This window comes from Homo sapiens, chromosome 11 (assembly GCF_000001405.40).
Source record: "Homo sapiens chromosome 11, GRCh38.p14 Primary Assembly".
Taxonomy (NCBI): Eukaryota; Metazoa; Chordata; class Mammalia; order Primates; family Hominidae; genus Homo; species Homo sapiens.
This window is the reverse complement of record NC_000011.10, coordinates 128,299,984-128,320,580: the sequence shown is the minus strand read 5'-3', so window position 1 is coordinate 128,320,580 and position 20,597 is coordinate 128,299,984. Positions and strand designations below refer to the sequence as shown.

Sequence of the window (20,597 nt, the reverse complement as noted above, 5' to 3'; positions counted from 1 at the left end):
TGACTATTGTGAACAATGCAGCTATGAACCTGGGTTTGCAAATATCTGTTCAAGTCCCTGCTTTCAATTCACTTGGTTAAATACCCAAAAGCGCAACGTTAATTTCATACACAATTGTGGAACATTACTATTCACTTAATTTTCGCATACTATTCACTTACTATTTACAGACTTTATTCAGATTTCACCAATTTTTCCACTAAAATTTAATCTTAAAATAAGCACTCCAGGAGATTCTGGTTCACAGATCAATGTTTTATAAACATTATTTTTTAAATGACAGATTGTGTCCAGGAAGCAGTGCCATATGTTGGAAAGTTGACCTAGGACTGAGGTTCTGTACACTGAATCTGGAACAGGTTCGAAAGCAGCCAGTGGAGATTCACTGCCTTCCACTGGGCCTAGTTTTCTCCATCTTTCAAAGAGAATGGTTTGAGAATTATCTGGAGTCTTCTAGAGAAAAGAAGCTCTAGAATGTAAAGTTGTTCTCTAGGTAAAAGCTTTCCAGACAGCTGCTGACAAAAGAGAAACTGGCTAGCACTTCTGAACTCTCTTAATAATTATATTATTATTAATTTGCATAAAAGAAGCAAGATTTCAACTAAATGGCAATGGTTCTAGGATTCTTTCACAGTAGTGTTAATTCCTTATATAAGGAGCATGGGAGTATTTTTCTGTAAGAATCAGCCTGACAGAGCCCTATAGAACTGAGCCTCTGAAGACGTGCACTGACCAGCACAGGGAAGAAGAGTTAAAGATCTCTAAACATGTGAAACGGCATTATTAATACTGCTCCAGGCATATGGTATGTTTCAGGAACCCTTTTAAGTTAGTCTTCTCATGTGGAAGATTTGGGAGCAAATGCGAAATGAACCCATGGGAACATCTTTATGACGCTGCTTTGGATGCAGCACTGAAGTGTGCCTTTCATGGTAGAAGGATGTGAAACCATAAACGGGAGACTGAAGATACTCCAAGGAAGCATTAAAACAAGGAAGCAGGCAGGGCACGGTGGCTCACGTCTGTGATCCCAGCACTTTGGGAGGCCAAGGCAGGCGGATCACGAGGTCAGGAGTTCGAGACTAGCCTGACCAACATGGTGAAACCCCATCTCTACTAAAAATACAAAAATTAGCCAGGCATGGTGGCACACACCTGTAATCCCAGCTACTCAAGAGGCTGAGGCAGGAGAATTGCTTGAACCCGAGAGGTGGAGATTGCAGTGAGCCGAGATGACACCACTGCACTCTAGCCTGGGTGACAGAGCGAGACTCTGTCTCAATGAAAAAAAAAAAAAAAAGAAGAGAAAAAAATAAGGAAGCAACGGTAATTCAAAGAGAGGGGAGGGCCTGGGCTGAAATCTGGTTTGGATTCTATTAATCTCAGTGACTTGGGAAAAGCCCTAGAGGGCCCTTAACAAAGGGAGAGGCAGTCATGACCTCGGCACCAGCATCTTGGCATCTTTTCAGAGAGGTGTCAAATCCTGGGGACCCCCTTGTGGTAGCCCTGACTCAGAAGGAAACATACCAGCTACTATAGTACATCATCGCATACCACTTCCTGAAGGGCTTTGGGTTTTCCCTAGAAGGCTATATTGCTATGTGCAGGTCCTGCCAGGAACAAGCTTGAGCTCAATAGCTAAAGGGGGGAGCGGGGGAAGAAGCAGAGCAGAACGTACACCTTTTGTGGTGTGTTTACTACATATACATACAGACTTGCCCCCACTCACAGTTTATTATCTGTGCCTTATAATCCATATATGGAAGATAGGCATGGAAGTAGAGAAAAACAAAATGGACCTTTAGAAGGAAGAGGGAAATAAATCAGTCAACGGCCTAGGTCAGCCTTTCCCAACTTTGTGAGCTTTGAAATAGCAGATATTATGCAAAGGCAGAATTCTACAGTCGGATAAGTTTAGGAAAGATTGGATAAAACAAATTCGAACAGTATGAAGATTTCTTAAAGAACTAAAGGAAGAATTACCATTTGATCCAGCAATCCCACTGCTGGGTATCTACCCAGAAGAAAAGAAGTCATTATGTGAAAAAGACACTTGCACATTTGTGTTTATAGCAGCACAATTTGCAATTGCAAAAATATGGAACCAGCCCACCAACAAATGAGTGGATACAGAAAATGTAATACATATGTGTGTGTGTGTGTGTGTGTATACCATGGAATACTACTCAGCCATAAAAAGGAACAACATAATGGCATCCACAGCAATCTAGATGGAGTTGGAGATCATTATTCTAAGTGAAGTAATACAAGAATGAAAAAACAAACATTGTATACTCTTACTTATAAGTGGGAGCTAAGTTATGAGGACACAAAGGCATAAGAATAATATAATGGACTTTGGGGACTCAGGGAGAAGGGTGGGAAGGGGGTGAGGAATAAAAGTCTAACATTGGGTACAGTGTACACTGCTCAGGTGACAGGGGCGCCAAAATCTCAGAAATCAACAATAAAGAATCTATCCATGTAAAAACCATCTGTTCCCCAAAAGCTATTGAAATAAAAATAAACAAATACATAAATATAAACATTTATTATTAGATCTCTTAGAATTGTTAATATACTGATGGAATTGTACATTTATTTTCTCACATTTATGTCATTAAACAAATGTTTTTAAAATCATCGTGCAGTAGAACTCTGTGGAGCACCCTTTGGGAAACACTGAGCTACTTGCTTGAGCAGTACCACTTCCTGAGCTTCTTGGCAGGCAAGAAAATTAGAGAAACATGATGGGCTATTGTTTTTTAACCAGATATAAGCCTATCATTTTTTTTTAGATTCTAAGTTGTAAATAAATTTTTGGATTAGTTATGTACTGCAAAGAGTCATTGAACCACATAATGACACACAATAAACTATCTCTTTAAAAATGGTTTAATTATACATGTAGAATAATTTTGTATGTTTTTATTTTTACTGTATCAAATATTGGGTATGAGACATTTTGCATCGGGAGAAGGGGAGTAGGCCTGTTGCTTTCTGATAGTCTAGTTAGATAGAAATCACTAAATTTAGAATACCTTGAACTTCTTTTCCTTGAACGCAAATTCATTTATCTATGAATAAGCATTATGATTATGACTGCAGTTGAAATACCCTAATTTGACTTTCGAGTCTCCAGCAGGATCCATAAACTGCTTCTCAATTGAAGGAATTTCCATAAGCTTTTGATACCAGACCTGCATATTAGCCACTTTGGATATTTTGACATTTGAGAAGGCTGGTCTCTTCTTTCACCTAAACATAAGCTCTTCCATCTCTTCCAAAGACAAGTCCCAGGGCAATCCTACAGGCAGGATTGAGACTTTCTCAGGAAGCTTCCTTGGGTTTGATGGAATGCTCAGGAAGGGGCTTGAGCAAGATCGTACAGACCTGGCCAGGATAACTGAGTAGAAACGTGCCATTAGTAGCAAGGAAGAAGTTGTCTTTCCTTCTCTGATGGCAGAGCATTTCTTAGAAAGTAAAGAAATGCAGAAAATGTCATCACAGCTGTCTTATCTACTTGATCTCATTACTCCTTATTAACACAAGAAGACTCTGGACAGTTATAGTGAAAGTCCCGATAAGAAGGAAGTGGTCACTTTCAAACTAATGTAGCATATCAAGATGATGATAAACAAGAAAAGTCTAACTATTCAATAATCAATAATATTGATTCTTAATTGGAGATATAACATTTGTTCCTCCCTATCTCTTCCATCACCTCACTACATGATGCATCTGCAAACACACACACACACTAACCAGTTGGGCCTCGTTCCTTTTTTTGTTCACCTATTGCACCCAGTTTTGCTGTTTATCAGAAAATTACCACATGATGTTGAAATAAACTGCTTATGTGTCATCTTCCTCATAAAACTACAGACTCTTTGAAGATAGGTTCAACATATTATCATCTTAATATTCCACTGACCAATGTAGAAAATATTTATCAAATGTGTTGAGTATATCACCATTCACTAGTTACATGGACACTCATTTATGCTATGCTTACTGGTGAATTTGACCAGCTGTTTCCTTTTATGATTTAACACACTCATTTTAGATGAGTGGCCCATCAGAAAATAAGCTTTTTAGTACAGACTATAAAATGCAGATACCATCTCTAAAGAACCTATATTCATTTGTTTCAAGAGAAATATAACTTTGAGACATGAAAAGAATATAAACTTTAAGATAAATCTGTCAGTATCATTTGAGAATTCAGTTAAACTTGAGAAAATCAGAATAATGATTTGATACTGTTTGGATTCGTGTCCTCACCCAAATCTCATGTTGAATTGGAAGAAGTCTAGTGGAAAGCAATTGGATCATGGGGGCGAATTTCCCCCTTGTTATTTTCATAATAGTGAGTGAGTTCTCATGAGACATAATGGTTTAAAAGTGTGTGGCACTTCCCCATTTGCTCTCTCTCTTCTGACATCATGTGAAGAAGGTGCTTGATTCCCTTCAGCCTTCCACCATGATTGTAAGTTTCCTGAGGCCTCCCAGGAACTTCCTGCTTCCTGTACAGCTTGCAGAACTGTGAGTCAACTAAACCTCTTTTCTTCATAAATTACCCAGTCTCAGCTAGTTATTTATAGCAGTGTGAGAACGTACTAATACAGAAAATTGGTACTGGGAGTGGGGCACTGCTATAAAGATACCCAATAATGTGGAAGCAATTTTGGAACTGGGTAATGGGCAGAGGTTGGAACAGTTTGGAGGGCTCAGAAGAAGACAGAAAGATGTGGGAAAGTTTGGAACATCCTAGAGACTTGTTGAATGGTTTTGACCAAAATGTTGATAGTGATATGGACAATGAAGTTCAGCCTGAGGTGGTCTCAGATGGAGATGAGGAACGTATTGGGAACTGGAGTAAAGGTCACTCTTGCTATGCTTTAGCGAAGAGACTGGGGCATTTTGCCTCTGCCCTAGAGATCTGTGGAATTTTGAACTTGAGAGAGAATACTTAGGGTATCTGGTGGAAGAAATTTCTAAGCAGTAAAGCATTCAAGATGCAATCTGGCTGTTTTTAAAAGTGTATACTCATATACATGAACAAAGAGATGATCTGAAACTGGAACTTATATTAAAAAGGGAAGCAGAGCATAAAAGTTTGGAAAATTTGCAGCCTGACCATGCAGTAGAAAAGAAAAACCCATTTGCTGGGGAGAAATTCAAGCCAGCTGCAGAAATTTGTTAATAGCCAAGACAATGGGGGAAAATGTCTCCAGGACATTTCAGAGACTTTCATGGCAGCTCCTCCCATTACAGGCCTGGAGGCCTAGGAGGGAAATATGGTTTCACCTTGGGACATGGCACCTTGCATCCCAGCCACCCAAGATACAGCTCAGGCTGTGACTTCCTAGGGTGTAAGTCCCAAGCCTGGTGGCTTCCACTTGATGTTGGGCCTGCAGCTATGCAGAAGGCAAGAGTTGAGGTTTGGGAACCTCTCCCTAGATTTCAGAGGATGTATGGAAATGCCTGGATGTCCAGGCAGAAGTCTGCTGCAGGAACGGAGTCCTCATGGAGAACTTCTACTAGGGCAGTGTAGAAGGAAAAGGTGGGGTTGGAGCTCCCACACAGAGTCCTCACTGGGGCACTTCCTAGTAGAACTGTGAAAAGACAGCCACCATCTTTCAGACCTCAGAATGGTAGATCCATTGGCAGCTTGCTCCATGCACCTTGAAAAGCCACAAACACTTAATGCCAGCCAATGAAAGAAGCCACTGGGGCTGTAACCTGAAAAGTCACAGGGGTGGAGCTGCCCAAGGCCTTGGGAGTCCACCTCTTGCATCAGCATACCCTGGATATGAGACATGGGATAAAAGGAGACTATTTTGGAGCTTTAAGATTTAATGACTGCCCTACTGGGTTTTGGACTTGCATGGTGCCTGTAGCCCCTTTGTTTTGGCCAATTTCTCCTAAATGGGAGCATTTACCCAATGCCTGTACCCGCATTGTATCTTGGAAGCAATGAACTTGCTTTTTATTTTGCAGGCTCATAGGCAGAAGGGACTTAATTTGTCTCAGATGAGACTTTGGACTGTGGATTTTTGAGTGAATGTTAAAATGAGTTAAGACTGGGGAACTGTTGAGAAAGAATAATTGTATTTTGCAATGTGAGAAGGACATGAGATTTGGGAGGGGCCAGAGGCAGAATGATATGGTTTAGATTTGTGTCCCCAACCAAATCTCATGTTGAATTGGAGGAGGGGCCTAGTGGAAGGTGGTGTATCATGGGGGTGAATTTCCCGCTTGTTTCTCTCATGATAGTGAGTAAATTCTCATGAGATCTGATGGTTTAAAAGTGTGTGGCACTTCTTCCTTTGCTTTCTCTCTATCCTGCAGCCATGTGAAGAAGGTGCTGACTTCCTCTTCACCTTCTGCTATGATTATAAGTTTCCTGAGGTCTCCCAGTCATGCTTCCTGTACATCCTGAGGAACTGTGAGTCAATTAAACCTCTTTTACTCATAAATAACCCAATCTCAAGTAGTTCATTGTAGCAGTGTGGGAACAGACTAATACATGATTATATGCCAGATAACAGACAAGTAATACTTCTATTATTACTTGAGTTTAAGAGCCCTAGTTCACTCTGTGTTCTACCAAAATTCCTTTGTTTCATGTTTGAGAAAGAAACAGATTAAAACCATCATGTAGAAGGGAATTTATTTTCTAAAATCCTTATCCTTATACAGTAATTCCACCTTATCCTAAAGGGATGTGTTCCAAAGCTTCCATTGGATGTCTAAAGCTACAGATATGATTGAATTCTTTATATACTATGTTTTTTCCTATATATACATACTCATGCTAAAGTTTATAAGTTAGTACAGAAACAGATGAACAATAACTGAAAATAATATAGAACAGTTATAGCAATATACTGTAATAAAATTTATATGAATGTTGTTTCTCTCTCTCTCTCTCAAAGTATCTTATTGTACTGTACTCACTTGTTTTTTGACCTCAGTTGACCCTGAGTAACTGAAACTGCAGAATGCTCAACCTCCCCTGATGAGGTGGGACAACTGTACACAAATAATATGAATTCCTCTAAAGAGGATTAAGAGGTCAGGTTCTTTACATTTTGGTCTGCATCCTAGCATTTCCTCAAAAAAGTGTTTCAGGCATTGGAAAATTGTATTCTGGAAGAGGTGCTCTCCAATAGAAATATAATATAAGCCATGTATATAATTTTAAATTTTCTAGTAGCATCATTAAAAAAGAAACAAGAAACAGGTAAAAAGTATTTTAATAATATATTTTATTTAACCCAATATATCTAAAATACTATCATTTCAATATGCAATCAATATAAAATGATTCCTGAGATATTCTCCATCCTTTTTTTATCCAAATTCTTTGAAATCCAGTGTGTATTTCATACTCACATTTCAATTTGGACTAGTCACATTTCCATGCTCAACAGTCACATGTAGACACTGGTTAATATTGGTCTAGAAAACCCATCATATGAGAAGAAGCTATTTATTTTTCTTATGTCATGTATGATTTTGTTGAGAAGATATCAGCATCAGAGTCAATGGGTCTAGTGGTGCTAAGTTGAGCTGTAGAATTTGATAATGAATATTTATCAAGTTCTTAATGTGTTCTAAGCTTTGTTTTAGATACTGGGACTATAGTTGTAAATAAGAGTCAAAATTTACTCCCTTATGGAACTAACATTCTACTATGTGACACAGACAACAAACCAGACACATTTAATATAATCTAGGTTAAATGGTGGTAAGTGCTAAGGAAAAAATAAGGAGAGGTAAAGAGAAATAGAGAATGTTGAGACGGCAATCTAAGTTTTAGAAATAGTTGCCAGTTGCCTTCTTAATTAAAAGGTGACATTTAGTTAAAGACCCTCTGGCAATATTCCATGAAAATTATGACCTTGGATAACTTGGATTTTTAAGTAAACATTGTTGAAATGTATAGGTGAGTTTTTCTCTTAGATTTAAAGGTTTCAGGCCAGGTGTGACTCTCAGGTGAACTTGAGGAAGGACTGTCTAGAGGTCTGAGCCCTCAGAAAAGAGGCTATGTAATGACTTCATAGGACAGTAAACATAAGTGAACATGTTAATGAGACACAGATGGAACAAAATTCTCATGAAGAAAAGTTTCAAGGTGGTAACGAAATTTTGACTTAGCGTCATATTATATTGGACAATTTGGAATCCCCACTTTAACCTTATATTTTGATAAACTTGCTTTGCAGGTTTCAATTCTTCTTACCATTATAAACTTCTTACTTTTGTTTTGTTTTTGAAAGTCAGTACAGAGCCTTGGCAGTGTCATACAGAAGCTCTTGTGTTACAGGTCCCTTTACTTCTAGATTAGTGGGTTTCCCCCTTTCTCTGGTGAATACAAGATGAGTTACCCTCAATGAGGCTCATAAGCAAGTGTGTCTTTTGAACTGAAATGGTGTTCAGTGGGTGCCCTGTGCAACTGTGGCCTCAAAAATAGTTGTAGGGTGACCCTGACTTACTCCTTTCTAGGTTTCCCCTGGACTGAGCACTATGAGGAGAGAGACCTCATTGCATTCCCCACTCCTTTTCTCTCCTTGCTGAGACTTGGTCCAGAACCTCACATCCTATACAAACAGTACATGCTGAGGGCAGATGTGCTTAGAACACCTCCCTGAACTCTCTCAAACTCTCTTCAGTGCTTCACGACTAACACCTCAATAGTGAGCATTCCTCACTGAGTGCCCTCAACTCTTTTTGTTTCATCTGCTTGTTAGTTTTCATAAGTTAAATGTTTGCACTGTACTGCTGTACTATCTTTTAATGAAAATGGTTCCAGGCTATTTTATTTAAAAACATAGGCTCATAGAATGCTCATTTCAGGAAACAAAAAGGAGTAATTCTTCTGAAATTCCTGTAAGAGTATATGGGATATGGTGATAGGAAGAAACCCACTGGGTTTAGCCAACCAGGGCAATTTACTGAAAAAGAGCCTTGGGCAGAAAGAGCCCCACTGAAAGTAGCAGTACAGGAGAATGCCAAAGACCTCATTTAGCCCTTCCTCTTTCCTTCAGAAGGGTTTTAAATAAACCATTCCAAATAATTAAATTTTGATTTGAAATACTTCAAAATTATAGGAAAATTCCCATAGAGTAGGCAGGCCAAGACAGAGGCAGTTATAGCCCCTTTTAATAGGACCTTTATAAGGGAGGCTGGAGCCCAATGAGATCAAAACAAGGGAAGGTGTTCTGACCTCACCCCGTAGCATAGATTAAACTCCTAACCTCAGTCTGCCCAGGAGATGAAAATCATTGCAGCTGCTTCAAGGCCACAGCCAGTCACACATGAGAGTTGCCTCATATCCCAGGGCTCACCCTCAAATCTGCCTCCACCACCCTTGCTTGGCTAGCAGGTTGTGGATTGGAAGGAGGCCACTGGGGATGGTGCATTAGTCCATTTGCATTGCTATAAAGGAATATGTGCGGCTGGGTAATTTATAACAAAAATAAGCTTATTTGGCTCACAGTTCTGCAGGATGCACACAAAGCATCGTGCCAGCATCTGCTTCTGGTGAGGGCCTCAGGAATGTTATAGTCAAGGTGAAAAGTCTAAGGGGAGCCTGGATGTCACATGAGGGAGAGAGTGAGCAAGAGAGAGGGAGCTGGAAGTTCCAGGCTTTCTTAAACAACCAGATATTGGGTGAACTCACAGAGCAAGAATTTACTCATTACCATGAGGGGGCACCGAGTCATTCATGAGGGATCCACCTCCACGACCCCAACACCTCCCACCAGGCCCACCTCCAACATGAGGATCACATCTCAGCATGCGAATGGAGGGGATAAAATATCCGAACATATCAGATGTGGAGTGAGGCCACAGTGCTTTTCATGTTCACAACATTATCATTACTCTGCATGCCCTCTTGTCCCAGTGTTTATTTACTTTGTATTTTGTTTCTTTGCTCCTTGCTGGGGACCTGCTCTGGGAAGTCGGGGACCATTCTGGTTTCTCCTAATGAAGGAAGGTAGAGGTGAAGAAAAGGTGGAGGTGCCCAGGAGCAAACTTCCAGGAAACAGCTGAGACACAGAAAGACGCCCCTTCCAGATCCTTCACTGCCACCTTCTCCTGCATCAAGGGCCTGGCCTGATAGATGAAAAATTGTCCTGTGGAAGAATAGTGTCACATAATTCACTTTATTAACAAAAATCCATCTTCAAAGCCCCAGTTGATTGAGATGTTGGCTAAAAGAAACTCCAAGGTGTATGGGAGCACCCTGAGAAAGGCTGAGGGAAAATTTCACAGGGACTCTGCAAAGCATGAGATACTGAAAGGCCTGCTGAGGCCACATGAAGGAGACAGGAAACTGTTTCCATAAACAGCATGGCAAGTAATTGCTGTGGAACTTCATTAGACGCTGGATTTAGTCTAACGCACTTGTCTCTGTCAGTTCCCCTGTCTTCAGGTTTCTCCTCCAATAGCGACACTGTGGCTCTCAGTGCTGGGGTGGGGGACTTATGCCACATGGGGCAGTCATTGGAGCAGATCACTTGAAAGAGACAAGAGTAGGGTGTTGGAAGAACAAGGGAGTTCCTAGAAATACTCCCCAGTTCTTTTACTCATTCTTATTTTTGTAGGATTTGTAAGCCAAGCCCATGAGAACTGTTATAGGATGTATGTAATAAAAAGACCTCCCAGCTTCCACTCCTGCTCCGGTGTGCAGGGACAAGCTGTGTCTGTGACTTAAGACCCTCCATGTCTGGCCTTGATTTCTTTGGCTCTCCAGGTAGGCAAAGGAAATTGATGATAACCTGCTTTTGGGTGATTAGTATTGCATTCCAGAGAGGTAAGCTAGAGGGGTCTATTTATTACTGTCCTTGGTCCAAAGTGCAATTCTCTGCTCATTCCTCTGTCTCTGCATTTGTTCACTCACTTATCCACCAACAAATGTTTACTGACTGCCTACTCTGTGCCAGGCAGTAGTTTGAGTTCTATGGGTAGAATGGTGAATAAAGCAAAGTCCCGTCCATCAAGGAGCTTAGATTTTGTAACCACACCTGATATCTATGTAGCAACTTTCATCTAGATTTGTCAACACCCGTGCAGATGTACTTTACAGAATGATTTTGCCCTACCAACAGCGATTATTCCTTAGCGTTGAAAATGCTTTGTTGAAAGTCCAAATCTTTCTTTACTCCCACTACATGTGGCAGCCTCCAGCCTCCTTCCATGACTGTTCACAACAGTCCCTCAGGTCTGAGCTCATTGCTCCCTCACCTTGCTAGACAATTCTTCCTTCCGTACCCTTGCTCCTGCTCTTGATTTATATTTATAATTGGCTAACTTATTTTATCATTTTATGTATAATATTCTGTCTGCCCACTTACACTGAAAACTTTCTGAATGCAGGATCTAAGTCTTTTAATTTTTATCTATTATTCTTGAACAACTAGTGCAGTGCAGTTTTATTATAGACGCAGACTCCAATCTTTCCTCCTTTGCATTGTGTTAGTTTGCATTCTGCTTATTCTGCTCTTGAAGATATGCCTAGTAAATAGCCGTAATTCAGTTTCTGCTACTCTGCTTGCTTTTTTGATGCTGTCTGTTGATAACGCTTGAACATCTGTCTTATTCTCCACTGTATCCCCTACATGCAGCAGAGTACCTGGTATAATAATAGAAACTTAATACATATTTCTTGATTATCTGTTGGCTGATTGACTGGCTGGTACAGAAACAATCTGCACAATCTGTAGCATGACCAATCTTTAGGAACACTGTGCAACATACAAGAATTCCAGAGCTTTCCTGCAGATGTCTAGAAATACCCACAGATTGGCCTGAAGAAGCTGAAGTTGAAGAAAAGACGCCACCGAGCCAAAGAATGAGGCCACATGTAAAATATTTGTATGCCATATTTTGCCCTTCAGAATGATTATGTTTTGGCTGGAAGGCGTGAGACCATATGCTTTTACTGTTTGCCTTATAAAAATGAGAGACAATAAGGAAGAGAAAGAGACTTGAAATTTGAAGAAGATACACTGTGGGCATTGAAGATGAAAGAAGAAGCCACAGGTCAAGGGTTGCAAAAGAATGCACATAGGATCAAGAACCTAAAAAGGGAAGGAAAATGGGTCCTCCCCTAGAGCACTGAGAGGGAATGCAGCCATACCAACACACTGATTTTAGAAAGTCTGACTCCGAATTAGAAGATAGTAAATTTACATTGCTTTAAACACTAATTTTTGGCCATTTCTTACAGCACTGTTAGGAAAAGAATACAATGTCCAGTGCAGCCAAGAGCTCTTGGAACAACCTTAGGGTCTGGCAGTGTAATCTAAAATGTATAAATAATGATAGTCCTGAAACACCAAGGTGGAAGACCTGGATTATCTGAGAAGAAAAGGGAACCCCATAATGTGAAGCACAAACTGAGTGCTGAGTTTTCTAAATATCTACAGAAAAACATGTTCCCTTGAGGCAGAAGTACAGAGTTAAGAGCTTGTAACTCCATGCTAATTTTGACCACACAAACTTGGTCTGAGAAACCTAAAATGGAAGTTGACTTACAATTTATGGATCTGGAGGAGAATATCCGCAAGTAACTTATACGCAACGTGAGAATAAAGGAAGGTGCAGAACAGAATCTATGAACAGCTTTTTATATGATGAGATGTGATGTGTTCTCCAAGTCTCATTTCCTCCAAAAATCTTCCTTTCCCAGCTGCCACAGTGTTTGGGTTAAAGTAATGTCTCCAATCCCTGTAGTTGTCATCTACAAAGAACATCCCCACTATAAAACAGACTCAAAGTCTACAGACCTCCATTAAATAACAGAGGGTGATTTTCCTTATGAAAAACACCACATGAGGCCCGTTAATAGGTCTCCAGATAGGATTTGATTGCATGATATCCAGTACACAATCTATCCTGCAGGCCAGCTCCAACCTAAACCCAGTGGGAAGCCCCTGGCCTTCACTTAAAAGGGATGCAGAGCCAGACTCCAGAGTCAACAAGATTTGTTTAATTGACCCTTTTTCTGTGTAGCTTACATTTATGTGTTTTGTAGCTCCATCTCCTTTCTGTGCTCCCAGCCTCCGTTCAGGCAGCCCTAATGGGAACTGCCCAGGATTTCTGAACTACCTTTACTTTAGTTGGTCAGTGTCCACATGCATTCATATTGTTCACACACATCAATTATATAAAGTGTCCTTACAAGTTTACTTTTTTCTTTTTTTTTTTGAGATGGAGTCTCACTCTGTCGCCCAAGCTGGAGTGTAGTGGTTTGAACTTGGCTCACTGCAACCTCCGCCTCCTGAGTTCGAGCAATTCTCCTGCCTCAGCGTCCCAAGTAGCTAGGACTGCAGGTGCACACCACCATGCCCAGCTAATTTTTTTTGTATTTTAGTAGAAACCAGGTTTCACCGTGTTGCCCAGGCTGGTCACGAACTCCTGAGTTCAGGCAGTCCAGCCGCCTCGGCCTCCCAAAGTGCTGGGATTACAGGCATGAGCCACCGCACCCAGCCTACATGCTTACTTATATGTTTGGCCTTTGTATCGTAAGGGTTTTGATGGCAGGGACTGTATCTGGTCCTCTATCATATCCTAAGTCACAGAAATAAGATGAAATAAATCCCCAAATCTGAAATACCTGGTAATGCTAATTCCTAGTCTATGTTATTATCTACTTTATCTGTGATTCTTTTCAGATTAATGGATAAGCCACACAATCATTAGAATGTAAACATCTTGAGGGCAGGGACCATAAGATCATCTTTCCTTAAAGAAAGGTCAGTTACATCACAGGCTCTTAGACTGGGAGGGAAAACGCTGCTTTGCCAAATAGTGTGTTCCTGCTCATTGGAGGTATTTACCTCCAAAGGTAATGAAGAGGCTCTGGGTACCTGTATGGATGTTGTACAGAGTACTTATGCACAGAGGGTAGGTGTTAATACTAAGTTATTTCTAAATTCCTTACAATATTATAATTCTGTGTCCTTAGTCATTCAAGCCATACCCTCTGAGAAGGTCTATCCGACCAGGCATTTGGCTGGAAATGATACAAAAAACATGCAAAATCTGATCTAATCTTCCCTGTGCTTTTCTCTCCAGACTTTGTCTTTCAATTCTCCCTCATCTATTTGTGTCTGGTCAAGCTGGAAACTCACAGTTCCCCTCAGGTACCCTGATATCTCTTACCTTTAGGCTGGTTAATTGCCAAGAATGCAAATCCTTGGTCTTTCTTTGCAGGTTTTCCTGTTCTGTTTCTTTCAGGATTCAACACATACATCATGGCCTTCCATGAAGCTTTTCCTGACTCTGTGAGACTATACTGGATATCTCTGCCATAAGTTCCCATAGTACCCTGAGTTCAGGGCAACTGCATTTTCATTTACTGTTCATTTTTATCTGTCCAGTAGACTGTAAGTTCCTTGGGGAAAGGACCACATCTGGTCTCTCTATATCCCCAGTAATCATCATAATGCCTAGTATATAGTAGATGCTCAAAAGTGTTTGTTAATCTCATGCTTAAATAACTGAAATTTAGTTAATGAATAATAGAGTGTCAAAATGCATTAACTTAGTATTCAATTTAAGCCCAGTTGTCATAATTATATACTAGTAACATTGGAACTGTTCAAAAGATTGGGGGATGGGGGGCAGAGAAAGAGAGAGAGAGAGAGAGGGAGAGAGAGAAATGAAATTCACAGTATTTGCATGCCAAGACACTATTTTCTATTTTTGTTCATGATGGCCTGATTACCCCGCCTTTAGTTTTACCTTCCACTCCACAGGCTGGAAACTTGGGGTGAAAGTGTCAGTACAAAGGCATTGCCCCTTTTCCTGTGAGTGAACCACTCACATCAGGAAGTTGTAAAAGTGTAAAGAGTATGTCCTTCCCCCACAGCACTGAATCCATGCATAGGCCATGTGGACAGCTTTCTGTATGGCATGATTTTTCCAGAGTTTTTCAGCAAGGAATAATCTTTTTCACCAGCCTCCCATTATGTATGAAACCTCTGCAACTAAAATCACTCCTTTTCACATAAAGCTGTATCTTCAGAAATTTCCTTTTTATACACAAAGCAGATACCTGGAATGGATATCACAATTAATGTTAACAAAAATGGATGATTTGACGGGATTAGTCCCCATCACGAGAGAATTGTGCCCCAAGAAATGAACCACAGAAAGGTTCTTGATGATAAATCTGATGCCAGGAAAGATTCGGGCCTGAAATGCAGGTAGACGTGGGAGGTCCCAGTGTGAAACTCTGTTGTATGAAGTAGCTCAAAGTCTCAGGTGTCCATTTGGAAAAGAAGGGGTATAGTGGATGAGAAAGATACAGCTTTTTGGTTTTGTAATGATGTGGTTCCACTCACACCCAAAATGGGCTTTCAAGGTTAGGACATATTTTTCTTGGTATGTACAAGACATCACAAGGTATCTTGGTTTCTCTGTTTTCTTGTGAAGGTGTAACGCTCTCTTTCTTCAGGGTGTGTCTCGTTGCCACAGTTTAGAAGTGTAACATTTTGACTGCACCTTTGAAAACAGAGTGAACCTTTGTGGCTCCTTATCTTCTATGATTCTGTTTAAAGAAAACAAAACATATAGACAATGTTATGCACACAAGGCCTGAATCAAGCAACAACATACTTATTTGTAGAGATTATTAGTACAGTGTGGTCACACATTTTATTTTCCACAAGCACGTGAGAAGCTCTGCTAAGCCCATTCTGTGAAATGCTTTCTGTCTTCTGCTGGGGGAGTTTCCTTTTGCTGCCTGGTGTTCGAGGGACTCTCTATGAACATTTTCCCTCTAGAGCAAAAATAATTATGGGGTGTCAAATCCTAATCATTAATAAACACTAAGATTTAAAGCTTTGGGTTTGATAGAGAGAATCTCCTTTTCCTGTGAATTTCCAGGCTTATTACCTTAGTTGTTAGCCTTGCTTAATGAAACTCAATAGTTCCTGCTGCTTGCCTATTTGGTCATTTTATACCAACCTAGAGTTGAAAGTTTGAGAAAGACATAATTTTCCAGGTGTTCACTCATGTTCTGTTTTACTTACAAGTGCAGACCCAAAACAATGGTTCTAATCAATCATTTGTTTTTCTACAGAACCTATGGGAAGATCAAGAAATGTCACTTCTGAGAAAAAAAAAATGTCTAATGCAAGGAGTGAAGAGAGCTTTTTATATCTTACACTGACCACAACACACAGTTCAGAAAACTTAAATAACCCTAACTAAAATTTGAAAGGTGCTTCAAAGCATAGAAAGTACCTTGACATGTATTTTCTCATTGGATTCTTATAAACCTATAAAACGGTGCTTACTCCATTTCAGAAATGAGAAAATGGCGACCCAGAAAATAAAGCAGCATGCACAAGACTACATGCTACACAGGGGACTGATCTGACACCAAAACTTGACTGCAGATTGTCTGCTTTCAACTCTCACCAGCAAAACAGACAAAAGTGCTTTGGACATGCAAGTGTTTATTATGTTGCATTTTGGAACTCCAGACCTAAAACCAAACATAGACAAATATAAAACAAAACAAAAAAACACTAAAGATCAAACCCATTCTCAAACCCAAACACCCAGAAAATAAAAGGAAATTATTATTATTTTTTTCTCAGGGGAAGCAAGTGGTTGATTTCATGTGGGATTAACTCTCAACTCTGATGAACCTCATGGTCTCCTGGATCTTCCCAAACCAAGGCTCTGGGACAGCAATTAATCAGATGGAAAGTCTGGGGATTTATCTCTCCACCATCACTGCTTTCTGCTGAATGCTGACTTAAAGATGTGAATCCACTCAATTATCTCACAGTTAGGAAGAAGCGAATCTATAGTTCAACGACACAGAGATGAGAGCCCAGGACAATCCCTAAGAGTCTGACTGACAATTAATTAGATAGATAGCATCTTATACTTGGGAAAGACCTTAGAGGTCTCATCCAATCTCCCTCCTGCTATAAGAATCCTTCCCTAGCAAGCCTGACAAATCACCACCTGGTGTTGGCTCCTGAGATGGGAATTTTCATTGTCTCGAGGTACCCGTTCCACTGCTGTGAGATGTGCTCTTGTTGTTAGAATGGATTGCCTTCTTGGGATCAAATTATTTCCCCTTTTAAGCCGTCAGCCCACTTTTTTGGCCTGAAAGATTATGGTTATTTGTGCATTCACATGCTATTCTTTGAATATTTGAAGTCAGCTCTCTTGACTTCCTTAAACTATCTCTTCTCTATTCAAAATATACCCAGCTTCTCCAACTTTTTCTAAATTCATTGATTTTTAAGACTTTCTACAAATAGTTCCATTTTTGTACATTTTTTTTTTGGAGAAATGTTCATAGCTGAATAGGGTCTATTTTTCCTACTTAATCTGACCCATGTACTTTCAATACCTTTACTGGTCATTAGCTCTATACCAGTAAGGCCAAATATATGGTGGTGGGTGATAGTATCAGCTCCCTCAACTCTGCAACCCACTGGAGCTTACCAAATGAGAACTGGTTTTCTTCATGCAATTTACCTCAAAAGCCACACCATCAGCAAGAGGACCAGAACTAATTGTCAAAGTGCAAGCCACAACGAACACACAATTGTCACTTAAAACCAGTTTTTGCTTCAGTAAGCTTTTTTTTTCTATCTAGTATTTTATCTCTTAAAATAAAGAGAAAAAACAGGTAAGAAACTAGTTTACCAATAACTTTGACAAATAGCCCCTGAGGTAGAGGGAGTGACATTTGGAAAGTTGGTAAAAGCCACCAGAGTCAAAGCAACCTAAACAAAAAAAAAAAAGAAAAAAAAAAAAAAACTTGTGGCTATGCTACACTCAACCAGGCCACACCTGTTTTCAGAAACCACTGAGTGTTCTGCAGATACGCAGAGATGCCAGGTCTGACAGTCTCTAAGGCAACCAGATACCGATCATTGTCACACAGTAAGAAATAGGAAGAGACACTGGTAACAAACATTAAGCCTGGTTTTCTCATCTGCTCAACAGTGTAACGGTAGGTGGAGTCAGCTCTGCCTTGAGACTCTTCACTTGTCCAGTCTCAAACTCTAAACACCTACTGGAGTGCAGGGCATCCTGCAGCTGGATAAGTAACTGAAGATCTGAAGCCCACCTCTTAAGCGTAATCCCGCAATCGAATGTGGACTTTGAAATGGGCTTTTGAGGAGAAAAGGACAAGCTGCAGTTTCCCCCGTCTTCTAATTTCCTCATCTGCGAAATAAAACAGAGTGTTTATATGTCCAGAGAGTGGTGAGCCAGTGAACTGGGATGACACAAAGAGATAACTTATCTAATTTGGTTCCCAAACGGGTGGGTTGGATTTTAGTTAATAAGTCACCATCATAGGAAAATATAAGCAGGTCCCTGCTTTCTGAGCATTTATGTCTATTGAAGATGTACAGTATCATGCTTTCCCTTTCTGAGACATTTCCAATCTGTAATATGTCAATAAGAATAAAGCAAATGGGCATTTTGTAAGAAGTTGGCAGAGGTGCAGAATGCATTTAGGAATTGGAATGAGTGCTTGTCTACTGCTTTTCAAATCATTGCATTGGGATTACTTATGCCTGTGTTTTTCTTGCTCCCTAGACTGAGCTCCTTGACATCAGGGGCTCATTTTTGTTTATTGGTGTCGTTCCCACTCTTCCTGGTGTCATGTTTTGCACCTGTGGATAGTCAAGTAATAGTTGAATAGTTGTTCAGTTGAATCATTCTGTTGCTTTTAGGAGGTGCAGTTTGAAGACACTGCAGCTAGACTGAAATCACATAGCCCAGGAAATGGGAAAACATACCGTGAAGATGGGCTAATTAATGATTTATTGTACCTTGAAAAAATTTAAAAAAGTATAAATATTAATGAAAGTATTGGTTTTTAAAGCTTAATGATGATCAGCAGCAGAAGATAAAACTTAAATGATACAACTGGCCAGATGGCAACCATCTTTATTAAAAGGCCTGGTCAGAATAAGAATCATTACATAGAATTGAATATGGGACAGAATGTTGAGAATCAATTATAGTAGTAAATATAACCAGCTTTATAGCAACACCAAGAATTACAGTGAAGTGCAAGTACTGCGAAATAAAATTTAAAATATTGATTTTCAAGGATTTATTTTACATTTTATAGTCAAAATTTAATGCAAAACAAAAAAGAGCCTGAAAATCATACAGTCTTACAACCAAGAAAAAACTGTCTTGGTATGCTTTGTATGAATCTTTTGAGTTTGTCCTTCTCTACACGTATCACAACACATATCACACAAATATACACACATGTATTTTTGTTTTTATAAACTGGGCTAACATATTGTTGCTTTGCAAGTTGCTATTTCACTCAACAGTGCAGTATGGCCATGTTTCTATGTTATTTAACTATTCTCTATTTTTCACAGCTATATATTATTTTATTGTATTTATTTATATACATATTATGTATTAATGGACATTTAGGTTGACTCCAAGGTTTTTGTGTGCTGTTTTCTCACGTATGCTTGTTGTTAAGGCTTTTCATAATGTCTTTGGGGAAAGTTCATGGCAATTTTTTTCTGCTAGCAGTATACAGATGGGACTTTTATCTCCTTTTAATTTCAAAGGAAATGTGGCTACAGATGAAAAATGACATGACACACACCTTCCTAATAGTTTAAGAACACTTGCTCTTAAAAAAAATAAGAAAAATGTAGGGGAAGTGATCTACTCCTCAGAGCTGTCTATATTGATTAGATCTCCAAAGTTGACTAACACTACAACATTTTTTTTAAAAAACATACGATTTAGAATCAGGTTAGAATAATATTATCCTAGGATATATTTTACCTCATCAAGAGTTACATGAACTTTATCACTTAAGAGAAAGTAAGTTATCAAAAGTATGTATTTTTATTTTTTTAAAAAGAGACCACAGAAAAGCTGGGTGAAAACATCAAAATTGTGACTTCTTCTTTATAAGTGGACCCTCTAACTGGCATTTTACCTGCTGTTATCTTTCTCCAAATGCTTCCTAGAAGCATTTTGCTCAAGTTCCATACCTGGGAGGCTTCCAGCTACCATCACAAAATTGTTCTTTTCCTTCATTCCTATGAAAGCAAGAGGATGGTTCAGTGGGTACAAACACAAAATTAGTGAGGGCAAAGCTGCCTCATTTGGGTTATTTAGTTTTGAATACAAGAAAATAAAACACTTCTCCAAAGACCAAGATCATCTGTCTCTCATCCCCAACTAATCAACAGGGAAGAAAAGATGAGGCTTGGATGGTTCAAGACAACTTGTCAACACAACTAGAAAAATTACTTAGCATAGAAGCCTAACTTGCATTGGGTCAGTAGTGTCATCTTGATAGGCAAAACACAGCTGATTTCTCCACTCAACAGTTTTCCCATAGATCTTTCCACTAAAATCTTTTGAAATATGATAACCACACCATAAACTTATGGCTGGCAACCCTATTGGGACAGAAACTAAGTGCAATTCTTACTTTAAAATGTCTCCATTGGTAAAGGAAAACATTCTTGTTCTTATTCAATGAATGTTTCATTTCCTTAATTGGTGATATTAAGGTTGAAGTGAAATAACTCCAAACTCTT

General features: G+C 39.5%; 1 long non-coding RNA gene across 1 annotated transcript in view, besides 1 other annotated feature; it reads left to right on the top strand.

The window, feature by feature from the left end:
- LOC124902787 (uncharacterized) overlaps window positions 1–18,254 on the top strand; it is a 31,955-nt gene extending 13,701 nt beyond the window's left edge. Inside the window, exon 2 of the long non-coding RNA XR_007062946.1 lies at window positions 16,106–18,254. This is a non-coding gene — a long non-coding RNA (uncharacterized LOC124902787). The remainder of the gene's footprint in view (window positions 1–16,105) is intronic.
- Window positions 17,853–17,942: a silencer, noted in NCBI's record as "silent region_4053". NCBI's record gives its function as "represses an Ori minimal core promoter by ATAC-STARR-seq in GM12878 lymphoblastoid cells {active_cell/tissue: GM12878}" and the evidence as "EXISTENCE:reporter gene assay evidence [ECO:0000049][PMID:35858748]".
- Window positions 18,255–20,597: the final 2,343 nt, after the last annotated feature.